General features: G+C 46.7%; 1 protein-coding gene and 2 non-coding genes across 57 annotated transcripts in view, besides 8 other annotated features; 2 read left to right on the forward strand and 1 right to left on the reverse strand.

Moving 5' to 3' along the window:
* Window positions 257-965: an enhancer, noted in NCBI's record as "NANOG-H3K27ac hESC enhancer chr1:148766495-148767201 (GRCh37/hg19 assembly coordinates)". NCBI's record gives its function as "activates a minimal SCP1, AML or CMV promoter by ChIP-STARR-seq in primed H9 embryonic stem cells {active_cell/tissue: H9 hESC(primed)}" and the evidence as "EXISTENCE:reporter gene assay evidence [ECO:0000049][PMID:30033119]".
* Window positions 257-1,519: a biological region, named in NCBI's record as "hESC enhancers GRCh37_chr1:148603911-148604598 and GRCh37_chr1:148766495-148767201".
* Window positions 283-632: a silencer, noted in NCBI's record as "silent region_1256". NCBI's record gives its function as "represses an Ori minimal core promoter by ATAC-STARR-seq in GM12878 lymphoblastoid cells {active_cell/tissue: GM12878}" and the evidence as "EXISTENCE:reporter gene assay evidence [ECO:0000049][PMID:35858748]".
* On the forward strand, window positions 358-522 carry RNVU1-15 (RNA, variant U1 small nuclear 15). The gene has a single exon (NR_104076.1). It is a non-coding gene; the product is annotated as an RNA, variant U1 small nuclear 15 (small nuclear RNA).
* Window positions 457-751: a silencer, noted in NCBI's record as "tiled region #7263; K562 Repressive non-DNase unmatched - State 24:Quies". NCBI's record gives its function as "represses a minimal TATA promoter and a strong SV40 promoter by Sharpr-MPRA in K562 cells {active_cell/tissue: K562}" and the evidence as "EXISTENCE:reporter gene assay evidence [ECO:0000049][PMID:27701403]".
* Window positions 832-1,519: an enhancer, noted in NCBI's record as "NANOG-H3K27ac-H3K4me1 hESC enhancer chr1:148603911-148604598 (GRCh37/hg19 assembly coordinates)". NCBI's record gives its function as "activates a minimal SCP1, AML or CMV promoter by ChIP-STARR-seq in naive H9 embryonic stem cells {active_cell/tissue: H9 hESC(naive)}" and the evidence as "EXISTENCE:reporter gene assay evidence [ECO:0000049][PMID:30033119]".
* Window positions 1,520-2,209: an enhancer, noted in NCBI's record as "H3K4me1 hESC enhancer chr1:148603221-148603910 (GRCh37/hg19 assembly coordinates)". NCBI's record gives its function as "activates a minimal SCP1, AML or CMV promoter by ChIP-STARR-seq in naive H9 embryonic stem cells {active_cell/tissue: H9 hESC(naive)}" and the evidence as "EXISTENCE:reporter gene assay evidence [ECO:0000049][PMID:30033119]".
* Window positions 6,288-6,789: an enhancer, noted in NCBI's record as "H3K27ac hESC enhancer chr1:148760689-148761190 (GRCh37/hg19 assembly coordinates)". NCBI's record gives its function as "activates a minimal SCP1, AML or CMV promoter by ChIP-STARR-seq in naive H9 embryonic stem cells {active_cell/tissue: H9 hESC(naive)}" and the evidence as "EXISTENCE:reporter gene assay evidence [ECO:0000049][PMID:30033119]".
* TRN-GTT3-1 (tRNA-Asn (anticodon GTT) 3-1) lies at window positions 7,049-7,122 on the forward strand. The gene has a single exon. It is a non-coding gene; the product is annotated as a tRNA-Asn (tRNA).
* Window positions 7,098-7,157: a silencer, noted in NCBI's record as "silent region_1257". NCBI's record gives its function as "represses an Ori minimal core promoter by ATAC-STARR-seq in GM12878 lymphoblastoid cells {active_cell/tissue: GM12878}" and the evidence as "EXISTENCE:reporter gene assay evidence [ECO:0000049][PMID:35858748]".
* Window positions 9,172-15,393, reverse strand: part of NBPF15 (NBPF member 15) — a 40,280-nt gene continuing 34,058 nt past the window's right edge. For 52 of the 55 annotated variants that reach the window (NM_001385416.1, NM_001385377.1, NM_001385443.1 and 49 more), the window contains 6 exons: window positions 14,829-14,880; window positions 14,060-14,232; window positions 13,299-13,350; window positions 12,472-12,644; window positions 11,652-11,757; window positions 9,172-11,038 (listed from right to left, as the gene is read on the reverse strand). In NM_001385416.1, the coding sequence (NP_001372345.1) occupies window positions 10,795-11,038; window positions 11,652-11,757; window positions 12,472-12,644; window positions 13,299-13,350; window positions 14,060-14,232; window positions 14,829-14,880 (800 nt within the window). In that variant the 3' untranslated portion in view covers window positions 9,172-10,794. The remainder of the gene's footprint in view (window positions 11,039-11,651; window positions 11,758-12,471; window positions 12,645-13,298; window positions 13,351-14,059; window positions 14,233-14,828; window positions 14,881-15,393) is intronic. The other 3 variants (NM_001385447.1, NM_001385446.1, XM_047418308.1) reach the window with 2 other exon arrangements.

The raw sequence follows: 15,393 nt of genomic DNA on the forward strand, positions 1-15,393 counted from the left end.
AGAGACAGACGTCACTTCCTCCGCCAGCTCCGGCAGCGGGTTGATCGGCTGAGTCGGCGGAGGGTGGGGCGGAAGAGCAGACGGTGTCTGGGAAAGGCGCTGTCGGTGACATCACGGATAGGGCGATTTCTATGTAGATGAGGCAGCGCAGGGGCTGCTGCTTCGCCACTAAGGAGTTCCCGTGCCGTGGGAGCGGGTTCAGGACCGCTGGTCGGACCTGAGAGTCCCAGCTATGTGTCAGGGCTAGGAGGGCTGGGGGCGGGGGGGGTGGGGGGGGGGGGCGTGCGCGGGGCAAGTGACCGTGCGTGTAAAGGGTGAAGCGTGTGAGGCTGTGGCGGGGCGGAGGTGCAAAAGCTCATACTTACTTGGCGGGGGAGATACCATGATCACGAAGGTGGTTTTCTCAGGGCGAGGCTTATCCGTTATGTTCCGGGTGTACTGACCCCTGCCATTTTCCCCCAATGTGAGGAACTCGACTGCATAACTTGTGATAGTAGGGGACTGCGTTCGCGCTTTCCCCTGGTGCTTCTGTGGTGCGAATAGTAGGTGAGCCGTAAGTGTTTTTGTAACTCAGGGTGCGGGCTCGTGTTTTGTGGCTGTGTTCTGTCCGGTCAGTTGTTTCCGTTCGCAACGGTTAGTTTTCCTTTGTGAGGCCATGTTTGGGGACAGCTTAGAACTATCCACTTACTCTCTTGGGAGGCGAATTTCAGTCTCTGTTGGTTGGGGTGTTCTCCCAGGTTAGCTGCCGCGGTACTTGCTAGGTGGAGCTCAGGGATCAAGGGTCGGGAGCTTTCTGGTTTGTTCAGTGCTCCCAGGGCTTCTAACATCTCTTAAAAACTCTGGTGTTTTCTGTCATCCTCGGAGTTACCTCTTAGCCTCTGTTTTTTTTGTTGTTTTTTCCCCCCCTCCCTAAGACAAGTCTCGCTGTACCGTCCAGGCTGGAGAACTGGCGCGATCTTCCCATCTCAGGCTCCCGAGTAGGACAACCGCACGCCACCACACCCGGCTAGTTTTTTCTCTTTTTTTTTTTATTTTCTTTTCTTTCTCTTTCCTTTCTTTTTCTTTTTTCGTAGCAGTTTCACCATTCTGCTCAGGCTGGGCTCCACCTCCTGGGCTCAAGTGGTCCGCCCAGCCTTCTGAAGTGCTGGGATTGCAGGTGCGATCCATCTTGCCCTGGCAGCTCCTGCTTTTCACCACAGCATTCACGGGAGTTTGTAGGATTTCTGTGCTGGGGAAACGTGTACTCAGTTAATAGAGCCAGGTGGAAGTTGTACTCAGAACTGGTGGTTTTCTTTGGAATGAAAACCGTGCATGTTGGGGGCTCTTAGTGTCCCCGTTCGGTTGTAGGCATAACACCCTTGCTTTGTGTAGGGGGAGGGCTTTGCCCGTGCCCTGGTGCCCCGGCGCAGGGCATCGAGGCCTGCAGATCAGAACCGCAGTCTAACCTATGTCTTGGCGGAATACCCTGCTAAGTCTCCCTGGAATGTAAGATGGGAGGTCTTGTGAGGAGGTTTCTACAAGTAAGAAAACAAATTTCCATTCGGTTTTTATTGACAAAATTGAAAATTATAATAACTGAGTCCAGCCTCTCAGATGACAAATGTCTTTTGCACTGAGAGCTGGGAACCGCCGCTTGCCTCAGCTCCTGCGTGCAGGTGCAGCCCTCGCTTCCCTCCACACTTTCTCCAGCGGGTGTCAGTTCCTCCACAAGAGACAGACAGCGTTCTGCAGAACCACAGCGCTCAAGGCCTTCGAGAGCCAAAAATCTCGGAGCGAGCTGCCCTGTCCTGGCTGTACCTCACGACTGACCTAGAAATGGCCTTTGCTGGGAGCAAAGGGTAGGGGGGAGATGGTCGTCGGAGCTGGGGCCTGTGCACTGGACCAGGTTGACCCACGGGAGGGGAGGTACCCAGAGTTAGAAGGGGGCCAAGCACTGAGACCTCACCATCCTCAATCTCCAAAAGGACTCAGAGAGATGCAGAGACTGAGACAAGCTTCCTTTTTTAAGGAAAGAGAAAACTACTGAGGAAGGCCCCAGGGACTCTGAACCAAAATCCAGACTTTTTTTTTTCCACCTGCAGCTTTTTGTTTTTATTTTTGCTTGAGAAGGTGTCTCGGTCTGTTGCCCGGGCTGGAGGGCAGTGGCGCAATTTCGGCTCATTAAAACCTCCATCTCCCGGGTTCAAGCAATTCTCCTGCCTCGGCCTCCCTAGTAGCTGGGACTGCAGGTGCCCGCCATGACGCCCGGCTAATTTTTGTATTTTTATTAGAGACGAGGTTTCACCATGTTGGTCAGGCTGGTCTCAAACTCCTGATCTCAAGTGATCCACCCACCTCAGCCTCCCAGAGTGCTGGGATTACAGGTGTGAGCTACCGCGCCCAGCCCGCACCTGCAGCTTAATCCCATTTCGCTGGTGCAACTTCATCCTTCCGTATGCTCAGGCCAATAAACAGTACTGTAGGCTGGTCGTTCTTTGACCCCCATACATCCTATTGGTCGGAAAATTATGTTTTCTCTTTGGTTAACCGCAGACTTTGATATGCACACTCTTTCTTGGTCTGAAACCCACCCAATAGTCCCATACGTAGATTTTTGGATAAACATAGAAATGGACCCTTCTGATCTGAAAGTTTGAAACTCGATATTTGTTTTATTTGAGTTCCTTCCTTCAGGCCTCTCAAAAAAGATATCAAAGAACTGAAAGTCACCCAGACAATGAGACGCCGGACCCCTCATTCATCCTGATTGCTTCCTTGCCCCTCCCTAGTTCCTGTTTTCTTTCTTTTCTTTCTTTTTTTTTTTTTCTTTTTGAGACAGAGTCTCCCTCTGCCTCCCAGGCTGGAGTGCAGTGGCGCTATCTTGGCTCACTGCAAGCTCCGCCTCCCGGGTTCACGCCATTCTCCTGCCTCATCCTCCCGAGTAGCTGGGACTACAGGCGCCCGCCACCACGCCCGGCTAATTTCTTTTCGTATTTCTAGTAGAGACGGGGTTTCACCGTGTTAGCCAGGATGGTCTCGATCTCCTGACCTCGTGATCCGCCCGCCTCGGCCTCCCAAAGTGCTGGGATTACAGGCGTGAGCCACCGCGCCTGGTCTAGTTCCTGTTTTCTTACACATTGTCACATTCTTTCCCTGCCATCTAAGCCTCTAATTTTGGTTGGTCAGGGAGATGGATTTGAGACTGAGTTCTCATCTCCTCCGCTGCAGCACCCTATTAAAGCCTCTTCCTTGGCAATAACCGTCTCAGTGATCGGTTTTCTGTGTGGCAAGCAGCGGGAACCCCAGTTCTCTGAACTTTGGCAAAGGAATCTCCTGATAAAGGCGGGATCGATTTTACTGACCAAGCTGAAAACGATCAGACGTTTGAAAGCCTTAATCTCGGAGCCTGTCGGAGTTTGGTCTGCCCTTGAGGCTTTTCTTTGGGCCTACCAGTCAAAATCAGCCTGGCCAAACCTGTCTTCAAGGACCAGGGGCAGGGCCGGCTTCTCCCGCCGGGTCGGCAGCCACCTTCCCCTTCCCTGTGACTTGAAGAGAAGCTTCAGGGGGCGTTTATTCAATTTGCGAGGAGCCCGCGAGGCGCAGGTGCGCGGTGACTCTGTGGTTCCCACCACACCCGCTGCCCTCTTTGGTCCTCTTTGGTCCTCTCGCTGTCACCGGCGGGCAGTAACGTTCCGGGTGAGCTAGGGCTCCGAAGACACCAGGCAGGGAGGGACCAGTGGGTAAGGGCACCGCCCGTTTAGGTCCTGCGCAGGAGGGATCCGAAAAAGGTCTTGAAGAAATAGAAAGGGAGGGCCAGATGCGGTGGCTCACGCCTGTAATCCCAGCACTTTGGGAGGCCGAGGTGGGTGGATCACGAGGTCACGAGTTCGAGACCAGCCTGTCCAAGATGGTGAAACCCTGTCTCTACTAAAAATACAACAAGTAGCCGGGCGCGGTGACAGGCGCCTGTAATCCCAGCTACTCAGGAGGCTGAGGCAGGAGAATCTCTAGAACCCAGGAGGCGGAGGTTGCAGTGAGCTGAGACTGCCCCGTTGCACTCTAGCCTGGGCAACACAGCAAGACTCTGTCTCAAATAAATAAATAAATAAATAAATAAATAAATAAATAAATAAATAAATAGAAAGGGAGAGTTGGAAGTAGATCAAAGAGAAGAAAAGAAATCCTAGATTTCCTATCTGAAGGCACCATGAAGATGAAGGCCACCTCTTCTGGGCCAGGTCCTCCCGTTGCAGGTGAACCGAGTTCTGGCCTCCATTGGAGACCAAAGGAGATGACTTTGGCCTGACTCCTAGTGAGGAAGCCATGCCTAGTCCTGTTCTGTTTGGGCTTGATCCTGTAGCACTTGATTGTCTCTCCTGGACTTTCCATGGATTCCAGGGATGCAACTGAGAAGTTTGTTTTTAATGCACTTACTTGAAGTAAGAGTTATTTTAAAACATTTTAGCAAAGGAAATGAATTCTGACAGGTTTTGCACTGAAGACATTCACATGTGAGGAAAACAGGAAAACCACTATGCTAGAAAAAGCAAATGCTGTTGAGATTGTCTCACAAACACAAATTGCGTGCCAGCAGGTAGGTTTGAGCCTCAGGTTGGGCACATTTTACTTTAAGTGCACTGTTGGTGGAACTTAAGGTGACTGTAGGACTTATATATACATACATACATATAATATATATACATATTTATGTGTATATACACACACACACACACACACACACACACAGGGTCTTGCTATCTTGCCCAGGGTGGTCTCCAACTCTGGGTCTCAAGCGATCCTCTGCCTCCCCTTCCCAAAGTGCTGGGATTACAGGTGTGAGCCACCTCGCCCAGGCCATTTTAATTTTAATTTAATACTTTTAATTTGAATACACAATCCAAAAATCATATAACAAGTACAGGAAACCCACTTTATGCCAAGTTTACAAAAACAGGAAAGATATGTCAATGACAAAGCGTCAAAGTGGCAACATCCTAAAGTACTGAGAGAAAAAAAGTTATTCTAGAATTCTATGCCAAATTGAAATATCTTTCAAAAATGTGACTGAAATCAGGACATTTAAAGACATACAAAAAAATGACAGAATTCACCGAACCACACTACAAGAAATATTAAAGGAGTCCTCCAGGCCTAAGGATAAGGATACCAAACAGAAATCTGAACCTACACAAAGAAATGGAGACGACTGAAAATCGCTATGTACGTACTTGGATGTTGGGGTTTATAACATGTCCAAAATCAAATTCCCTGACAACACTAACATAAAGGCCAGAAGGGGAGGTATAATGTCACTTGATGGCAGACGGATAAAGATGTATTCTAGGGACCCTAAAGCCATCACTGACATAACAAAAGAAAGAGTTACAGCTAATAAGCCAAATAAGGAAAGAAAATAGAATGATATATAAAAAAAAAACATGTAATCGCTGGGTGCGGTGGCTCATGCCTGTAATCCCAGCACTTTGAGAGGCCAAGGCAGGCAGATCACTTGAGGTCAGGAGTTTGAGACCGGCCTGGCCAAAACGATGAAACCCCGTCTCTACTAAAAATACAAAAATTAGCCCGATGTGGTGGCTCGCGCGGACCTGTAATCTCAGCTACTTGGGAGGCTGAAGCAGGAGATTCGCTTGAACCCGGGAGGCGGAGGTTGCAGTGAGAGCTGAGATGGCGCCACTGCACTCCAGCCTGGGTGACAGAGCGAGACTCTGTCTCAAAAATAAATAAATAAATAAATAAACAAACAAACAAACAAACAAAAACTGTGTAATCCCTATGCTGGAGCAACTGCTCTCCAGGCCTCTACCCTATAGAAATACACAAATGGCCAATGAGAAGTGTACAAGAATGATCACTGCCGAATTATTTGCAATCATAAAATAGTAGCGCCAAAGTAATTTCAAAGATACATGAAAATCGTTTTATTTATTTAACAAACACAAACAATTGAACAAACAATGGAAGCAAGTCCTTTTGCCTAAAGGAACACAGAGGGTCATGCGGATGTTGCTCCTCCAAGGATTTCGGTGTTCCCCAACGGCTAGTTTTGGGTCTAGTTCTTCTGGAAGATCTTATTCTTGGGGAGCTACAGGTTCTGGCGTTTGGGGCTCTTTCAGGTTCTATCTCCATTTTCCCCTCAATTCCTCCCCATTCTGCTATAATAAAAAAAAATTCTCACCTCCGGAAGATCCCGCCTGTGCCTCCCCGCCAGCCTTTCAGGAGGTCTGGACGTCTGGTCCACCGCTCCCCGGCTTCTTTCCCCGCTTTTGCTTTTCCCCTCCCCTGCTCCCGCCCTCCGGCCTCAGGACCCGACCACCGCCCAGCTGAGCCCCCGCGGCTCCACGGCGCAGAAGGGGCACTGGAGGCCCTGCCCGTTGCCGCCCCGCGGGGTGCCAAGAAGTCCACGTAAATAAATGCTTTGTAAAAGGAACTTCCCCATGGAAAAATCTCTCATGATTTCCATTCTCAAGGCTCTTCAAAGGACTAAAAGCTAAAAGGATGGATTCATTCGACAAGTCCTAGTCCTGCGCCCTGGTGAGTGCCAGACCCTGCTCCCCGCGAGGGGGACCCACGAGCCACCCTCACCACGATCCCTGCCCTGGTGGAGCCCCCGTGCGGAACACAGGATCCGAAGATGGCAGCGGAAGCTCCGCAGCGGCCCCAAAAGCGACTGGGCAGGGAGGGCACAGGCTCCCTCACTGGGTGAAGGCGGCGCGAAGAACGGGAAGAGCCATCCCGGGAGCCACCGGGCGTTCAGCCTCCCTAGGGCCCCCAGGCGGCTCGGGCCGGGGTCTCAACCGGGACGTTTCCGGGGGGTTTCTGAAGCAGGCGAGGGGCAGGGCGGGCGAAGGCCATTCGGCTATCCTTCTGGCTCCAGAATCTCCCAACGCGCAGGTGTCCAACGTGACCAGCGCGACTTACCGCTCCAATCTCTCCGGTTTTCCAAGGCCTTGCTCAGTCGTCCTGCCGGGCGGGCCCTGAGGTTGCAAGGGACGGAGGAAGTTTCGTGCGTGCGCCCTTCCTATAGCGCCCAGTAGAACTGACAGTACCTGTCTCTGTGGCGCAATCGGTTAGCGCATTCGGCTGTTAACCGAAAGGTTGGTGGTTCGAGCCCACCCAGGGACGCTTGTTTGAGCTTTTAAAGTATTCATGCATTGTCAATCACTAGATAAATGGGGAAGATTTTATCTTCCTGGAGTCCTAAGCCACTAATTTGTGACTTATCCATGTCAAGGGCCAGACCACCTCCCCGACCGGATTCTTAACCGGGTATCTCCTGAAATCCTGGGTTTATATGTGTGTAACTCAGGAATCCTGAAACAGAGACCTAGGAACCCACTTCTGGTGTGATAAAATTCTAATTCAGTCCGTTATACGCTTAAACGAGTAATTTACATGCCTCCATTTTTTCATATGTTAATAATAGGAGGTCAGTAATATCCCGAGGATGTGCCTGGATTTACTGATTGCTCTATCAATAATGTGACCAGTGGAATCATTCATCATCATAGTGATCCTCTCCATCATTTTTGAAGAGTATTTTTCCTCAGTTTGTGCATGATTTATTTAACCCTTTTCAAAATGTTTTTGTTAGCCAGGCATGGTGGCATGTGCCTGTAATCCCAGGTACTTGGGATTCTGAGGCAGGAGAATCATTTGAACCTGGGAGGTGGAGGCTGCAGTGGAGGCTGCACCAGTGGAGGCTGCACCACTACACTCCCGCCTGGGCAACAGAGCGAGACTCCATCTCAAAAAAAAAATAAAAATAAAAAAATAAAGTTTTTGAGATGAGGTAGGTTTCATTGTTTTAGGATTACAAAGAATGCTGCAGCCACCTTTGTTGTACACATATCTGGTCATTGTGGAAATGTCTACACCGCAGATATTTCTATAGTGTAGGGAAGTTGATGCACTATCGCTACATTATAGGCTTTACATGATGCTTCTAATTTGAGTACATTCTGCAAATGTATCTTTCACGGGAGCCGTACCAAATAATATTCCAATAGCAATATTTATAGGAGGAAAAATGTGCAGAAGTGCAATTGAGCTTCGTGCCTCTCCATGGGGTCCATGTTCATAAAATGGTGGCATTAGCAATCATCTGAGAGTGGAGTTTGTGGCCCTCTGACATCAAAAGCTGAAGCAGAGGACATGAAAACCCTCACTGTGCATCCTCTCTAGTCTGGCCAGAATCATTCCTAGGTCGGTGGTCTCTTATCAGGAGGGAATGCTGCTTGCTTGTTTTGTCAAAATCACAAAACTGAGGGAAAGCATCAGGCCGTTGGTTGGTAACAGTGGTGAAGCAAGTCTTTCCAAAGGGCTGGTTTGTTGTTAACCCTTAGGGAAAAAAAAAGCCTTTTTTTTTTTTTTTTGAGACGGAGTCTCTCTCTGTCCCCCAGGCTGGAGTGCAGTGGCGCGATCTCGGCTCACTGCAAGCTCCGCCTCCCGGGTTCAGGCCATTCTCCTGCCTCAGCCTCCCGAGTAGCTGGGACTACAGGCGCCCGCCACCACGCCCGGCTAATTTTTTTTATTTTTAGTAGAGATGGGGTTTTACCGTGTTAGCCAGGATGGTCTCGATTTCCTGACCTCGTGATCCGCCCGCCTTGGCCTCGCAAAGTGCTGGGATTACAGGCATAAGCCACCGCGCCCGGCCAAAAAAGCCTAATTCTTACCAGCTGGTGCCGTGCAGTACCAGGCTCTTGGTGTCCCAAACAAAGACACCAAGAGCCTGGAACTGCACCAAAAACCAAAACCAAGGTAGGGGCAAGATGATAATCACAGAATGTCAACGGTATATGTTTAGGTTCAAATACTATTATGAGAAGGGGCAGGTAAAGGAGGTAGGAAAAAGAAAACACATCATGTAATTGACTGTTGTATGGAAATATTTGATGCTGAAAGTTATAATTTAAAACTATAAACCAAATATTAGAAGTGTGTCTAGTTCAAAGGGAGGAAAACCATCAAAAACATTTTTAGTGCAATATTTAACATGAGCTATACAACCCTTCCTAAATGCCAAAGGCACACACAGACACACACGCAGACACACAGACACACACACACTCACACTCACGAAGAATACAAATGACTAGAACCAAGAAATGTAAATACATTCTGCTACGTATGGTAAACATAGCCTACAATGTGGAAGAGATTAGAAAATAAACATGGAAATGAAATGTTTTTATTAATTCGCATCAGTACCCACCAAAACCAATCAGCATAATCAAATATTATAACACTGAATGTAAAAAACAATCCAGAAGTCCAGAGTGATAGGCAAAAGGTTTTAATTGTATAGATTAAAATTAACTTTGGACAAAAATTAAAACTCAGGCAGAGAATGTTTTCTTCTTTTTGCAACAGCAGACACTAGTAAAAACAAAGGCACAGTAAAAATTGAGACCCAAAATTTGCAGTGTAGAGATATGAATATAATAATAGACACAGGCAGGGAGGATTAATAAATGATAAAATGTTTAGAGGATGATCATTAGAATACAGGATATTTATACTCTTGAAAACCGCTTTCCCAAGTACTTCATTATAAGTAAGGTGTCTCTAAAAGGGACAGATCTCCTAGACCCCTCCTTAACCAAGTAACCAGTCCTGATATCATAATGGTGATGGACAAACTAGACCTTCTCTGCCCGCAGATGGGCTGAGGTTGGAAACTCACAGCATTGTCTCTGCAGTGTTCCCGGCAAAATGTTTAGGCTGAATTTAATCATGAAGACATTTTCAGACAACTTCAGAATGTAGATCATTGAGCCAGACAGCTGACCTGTCCTCTATAAACAAGTCCATGTCACCACCATCCATGACAACAACAAAAAGATGAGGAAATATTTGGGGTTCAAAATAACTAAAGAAATGCAGCTACATTATCTTTTTACTTTTTTTGAACCCAAAATATCTCTTCTCCTTTTTGTTGTGTGATTTGTGGTGATATGGACTATGTGAAGGAGACAGGTCAGTTGTCCTGCTCAGTGTTCTACATTCTGCAGTTGTCTGGTGATTACCTCCTATGAAACTCAGGCTAAGTGTTTTCTGCAAGAACATGGCATTGTTCATATTCTGCACCGGCAGAGTCCTGGGTGACATGCTGTCTCCTGCCAGCGGCTCCTGACTCCTGTTCTCTACAGGATGGAATTGAGAGGAGCAGGGCTAAGGCCTCCCAATGCTGTTTGTCCATCTAGCTGTGGTCTTCCTAAGTACTGACACCAATTGGAGGCTGAAGGACTGTGGCTTCTCTAACCAAAGGAGCCTAGCGGGTTAACAATTGTCAAGAGCAGTTGGTGGTTCTGAAATACAATCCTCAGCCAAGGATCCCTCCTGTGTTACAGATGGATCAGCTAAAACAAGCCAACACTGAAGACACAAAGAATGAGGTTAGGTTCATTGAAACCAGGGTAACACCTTTGGATGAGCTAAACACAAAGATGACAATGACCTTGAGCAGGTATAGAAGCTCAGAGACATGCCTGCAAAATGAAATCCCTGAGGAATTTTGTAGCTACCCAGAGATACGTGGTTCAAATTAAAATGTCTGACTGATCACTCCCGGCATGTTCTGCACAGTTATGTGAACGTGTCACACCTAACATGGGTCCATTGTCTTCAGATTGAGCACAGGTTGCCAATGGCATGGTTTGAGAATAGGAATAGAGCCATGCTCACTGACCCATCCTATGTCTGGGCTTCCAAATGGAACTGTACTTTCATTCAAATCTTCTCGTGCCTATAGGTCCTGCCTGCAGGAATGACATCTCTCGGCTTAGTAAGAGCTGCTTATTGTGGGAATATGACTCCCATCTGGAACACCAGGTGGAGACTTGTCACCGTCAAAGTAAAAAACCTATTGTCCACGTAAAGGGCGAAGCTGATATGCTCTTCCTCAAATGAGTAAAACACACTTCTGTAGTGCTGGAATGAGTCAGGTTGTTCAAAGTACATTGACGGAGTCGAATAACATCTATCCAGTGAGTCCTGTAAGACTTCAGGCTCTTCCACTTCCATCAGCACGCCGTAGAGCCTGGAAAAGGAGACAAAACTAAAGAAGCAGCCAGGGAAAATCAGACACCACAGAGCCCCACTAGATTTCAGAAGTAATATAAGGAAGTGGTTAGAAAAGAAAAAGGATAGATTCATTAATGAGGTAAAAAAAAAAAATTTATTGCCTTTATGTTGGGATAGAACAGGGCCAGGTAGAAAACAATGAAAGAGAAAGACAGAGAGAGAGAGACAGAGACAGAGACAGAGAGAAAGTGAGCTAGTGAATTGCCCAGGTGACATACTGGTAAGGGAGTAAAAGGACACTCTGAGTTAGTGCCCTCATGACACACAGCAAACTGTGATCACAAAAAGAGTGAGCTCAATAGTTTTCCATAAAATATGCTCAAAATTTGATGCAGTGGCCATCAGAGTACAGCTTTTGAAGTATGGTCAACCTATGGTACGTTAGTAAATGATAAGGGGAGGAAGAAATGGAAACCTAAACATCTACTGCAATGAAAACCAACAGCAATGACAGTAGGAGTAATTCAGCCTTCGTTGAAAACATGACATCAAACACACTCTGGTTTCCCTGAATCTGTTGCCTCCAGGTGTTAACACAGAATTAAGCATCCACAATTGCTGAAAGTTACCTGGGGCATGGTGGGTTGTCATCTTCCCCTTCTTTTCTTCCCCTTCTTCTTTTCTTCTTTGATCTTCTTCCCCTTCTTTTCTTCCCCTTCCCCTTCTTTTCAATTTCTGCAATAAATTCAGACATGGACAGACACATTAAGCTGATTCCCCTACACATATAACAATCCACTGTCTAATCCTCACACAGGGACCTCAGGCTCCTCAGCATAAGAATACGACACCATGAGAGATATATTTCAGGAGGTCTGAAGGCTGGTCATGATATAAATTCCTCAGTTTTTCTCCCAGAAACTGTGGGTAAAGTGTCCCTATTCTAGTAGATCGTTATCCCAATAACATTTGTCCCAAGTTTGTGCAAACAGTTATGCCATATTTTTCCAATCAATTTAAAGCAAATACCCTCAAATGATTTCTAGGAGAAAAACTGCAATATTTAGCCCTGTCTCATCAAATACTCAGATTGTTCATGGTTGTGAGGACTTTAGACACTGAAATTAGAGTGAAAAAGGAAATCTACAAACCCTTGAGTCAAAATCATAGTTCTCTGAATTTGTCACATCTGCCCAGGTCCAATGTCATGAGAGTAGAATCAGAGTGCCACAGGCATGGCCTGAGACTAGGAAGAGAGTCTTGCTCACTGACCCATCCCTTGTCTGGGCTTCCAGGTAGAACTAGAGTTTCATTCAACCTACATGTGCCTATAGGTCCTCACTGCGGCAATGACATCTCTCAGCTCAGTAATGGCCAATTGGAGCAGGAATATGATCTTTATATGGAAGACTCAGTGGATCCTTATCACCTTCATAGAAAGGTACTCACCTCCCACGTCAAGAGAAAAGCCAACATGTTTTTCCTCCAATGCATAAAAGGAACTTCCATAGGGCTGGCAGGAGTCAGGCTGTTCAAGACAACTGGAAGGAGTTGAATAACATCTATCCAGTGAGTCCTGCAAGACTTCAGGCTCTACTACCTCCAGCAGCTCCCTGCTGAGCCTGGAAAAGGAGGAAAAAGTAAAGAATAAGCCAGGGGAAATCAGACACAACAGAGCCCCAACTAGGTTTCATGGGTAGCATAGGGAAGTGGTTAAAAAACTAAAAGGATAGATCCATTAATGAGGTAACAAATTATTGCCTTCATGTTGGGACAGAACAGGGCCAAATGGAAAAGAATGAAAGAGAAAGACAGATAGACACACACACACACACACACACACACACACACACACACACACACAGACACACACACACAGAGAGAGAGAACGAGCTCAGTGAATTGTCCAGGTGACACACTGATGAGGGAGTAACAGGACACTCTGAGTTAGTGCCCTCAGGACACACAGCATACAGTGATCATGAAAAGACTGTGCTCAATAATTTTCCATAAAATGTGCTCAAGTTTCCATGCAGTCGCCATGAGAATACAGTTTTTGAAGTCTGGTCCACCTACAGTAGGTTAGTAAATGATAAGGGGAGGAAGAAATGGAAACCTAAATATCTACTGCAATGAAAACCAACAGCAATGTTAGTAGGAATAATTCAGGCTTGCTGGAAAAGATGTAATCGATAATGTCAGCCCGCTCTGTTTTCCCTGAACCAGGAGTCTCCAGATGTCAACACAGAAGTAGCTGTTCACAATTGCTCAGTTACCTGGGGCATGGTGGGCCTTGGTCTTCTTCCTCTTCTTGGTCCTTTTTAATTCCTGCAATACATTCAGACAGGGACAGACAAAATAAGCCAATTCACCTACACCCATAACAGTCCACTGTCTAATCCCCACACAGGGATCTCAGGCTTCTCAGCATGAGAACAGGACAATGTGAGAGAGATACTTCAGGAGGCCTGAAAGCTGGTCATGATATTCTTTGGTTTGCATCTCAGAACCAAGGGTGAAATATCCCCATTCTGGTAGATCGTTATCCCAAAATCATTTATCCCAAGTTTGTGCAAACAGTTATGCCTTATTGTTCCCATCAGTTCAAAGAAAATGCCCCAGATGATTTCTAGGAGGAAAACTGCAGTATTCAGCCCTGTCTCATCAAATGCCCAGCTCGTTCATGGATGCAAGAATTTTAGACACTGAAATTAGAATGAAGGAGGAAATCTACAAACCCTTCAGTCCAAATCATACTTCTGTGAATTTTTTACATCTGCCTGGGTCCAATGTGCTGAGAGCGGGCTCAGCTTGCCACAGGCATGGCTGGAGACTAGGAATAGAGCCTTGCTCACTGACCCATTTCATGTCTAGGCTTCCAACTGAGACTACAGTTTCATTACAACCTTTATGCGCCCATAGGTCCTGCCTGCGGCAATGACATCTCTCGGGTCAGTAAGGGCCACTTGGAACAGGAATATCACCCCTATCTGGAAGACCAGGTGGAGGCTTATCACCTTCACAGTAAGGTACTCACTGTCCACGTCAAGAGCCAAGCCAAGGTACTGTTCCTCCAATGAGTAAACAGCACTGCTGTAGGGCTGGCCTAAGTCAGGCAGTTCAAGATAATCTGAAGGAGTCGAATAACATCTATCCAGTGAGTCCTGCAAGACTTCAGGCTCTTTCTCATCCAGCAGCTCCCTGCTGAGCCTGGAAAAGTAGGAAAAAGTAAAGAATAAGCCAGGGAGAATCAGAAACCACACAGCCCCAGCTAGATTTCATGGCTAACATAAGGAACTGTTTAAAAAGAAAAAGGACGGATCCATTAATGAGGTAATGAATTATTGCCTTTATGTTGGGATAGACCAGGGCCAGGTAGAAAAGAATGAAAGAGAAAGACAGGGAGAGGGAGAGAGAGAGAGAGGAGAAAGTGAGCTCAGCGAATTGGCCGGGTGACACACTGATGAAGGGGTCAAAGGACACTCTGAGTTAGTGCGCTCGGGACACACAACGAACAGTGGTCATGAAAAGAGTGGGCTCAATAATTTTCCATAAACTTGCTCAAGATTCCATGCAGTTGCCATACAGCCTTTGAGGTATGGTCAACCTATAGTAAGTTAGTAAATGATAAGGGGAGGAAGAAATGGAAACCTAAACATCTACTGCAATGAAAACCAACAGCAATGTCAGGAGGAGTAATTCAACCTTCGTTGAAAACATGAAATTGAACACACTCTTGTTTTCCCTGGACCTGGCATCTCCAGGTGTCAACACACAATTAAGCATCCATAATTGCTCAAAGTTACCTGGGGCATGATGGGTCTTGGTCTTCTTCCACTTCTTGGTACTTTTCAATTTCTGCAATAAGTTCAGACATGGACAGACATATTAAGCTGGTTCTCCTACACACATAACAATCCACTGTCTAATCCTCACACAGGGACTTCAGGCTCCTCAGCATGAGAATAGGACACTGTGAGAGATATTCTTCAAGAGGCCTGAAGGCTGATCACCATAGAGATTCCTTGGTTTTTGTCCCAGAAACTGTGGGTAAAATTCCCTATTCTGGTAGATCGTTATCCCAATATCATTTGTCCCAAGTTTGTGCAAATGGTTATGCCATATTTTTCCAATCGATTTAAAGCAAATGCCCCCAAATGGTTGCTAGGAGAAAAACTGCACTATTCAGCCCTGTCTCATCAAATACTCAGATTGTTCATGGTAGCAAGGATTTTAGACGCTGAAATTAGAGTGAAGGATGAAATCTACAAGATCTACAAAATTGAGACAAAATCAGAGTTGTGTGAATTTGTCACATCTGCCCAGGTCCAACGTCATGAGAGTAGGATTAGGGCGCCACAGGCATGGCCT

The sequence above is a fragment of the Homo sapiens genome, chromosome 1 (assembly GCF_000001405.40).
Source record: "Homo sapiens chromosome 1, GRCh38.p14 Primary Assembly".
Classification (NCBI taxonomy): domain Eukaryota; kingdom Metazoa; phylum Chordata; class Mammalia; order Primates; family Hominidae; genus Homo; species Homo sapiens.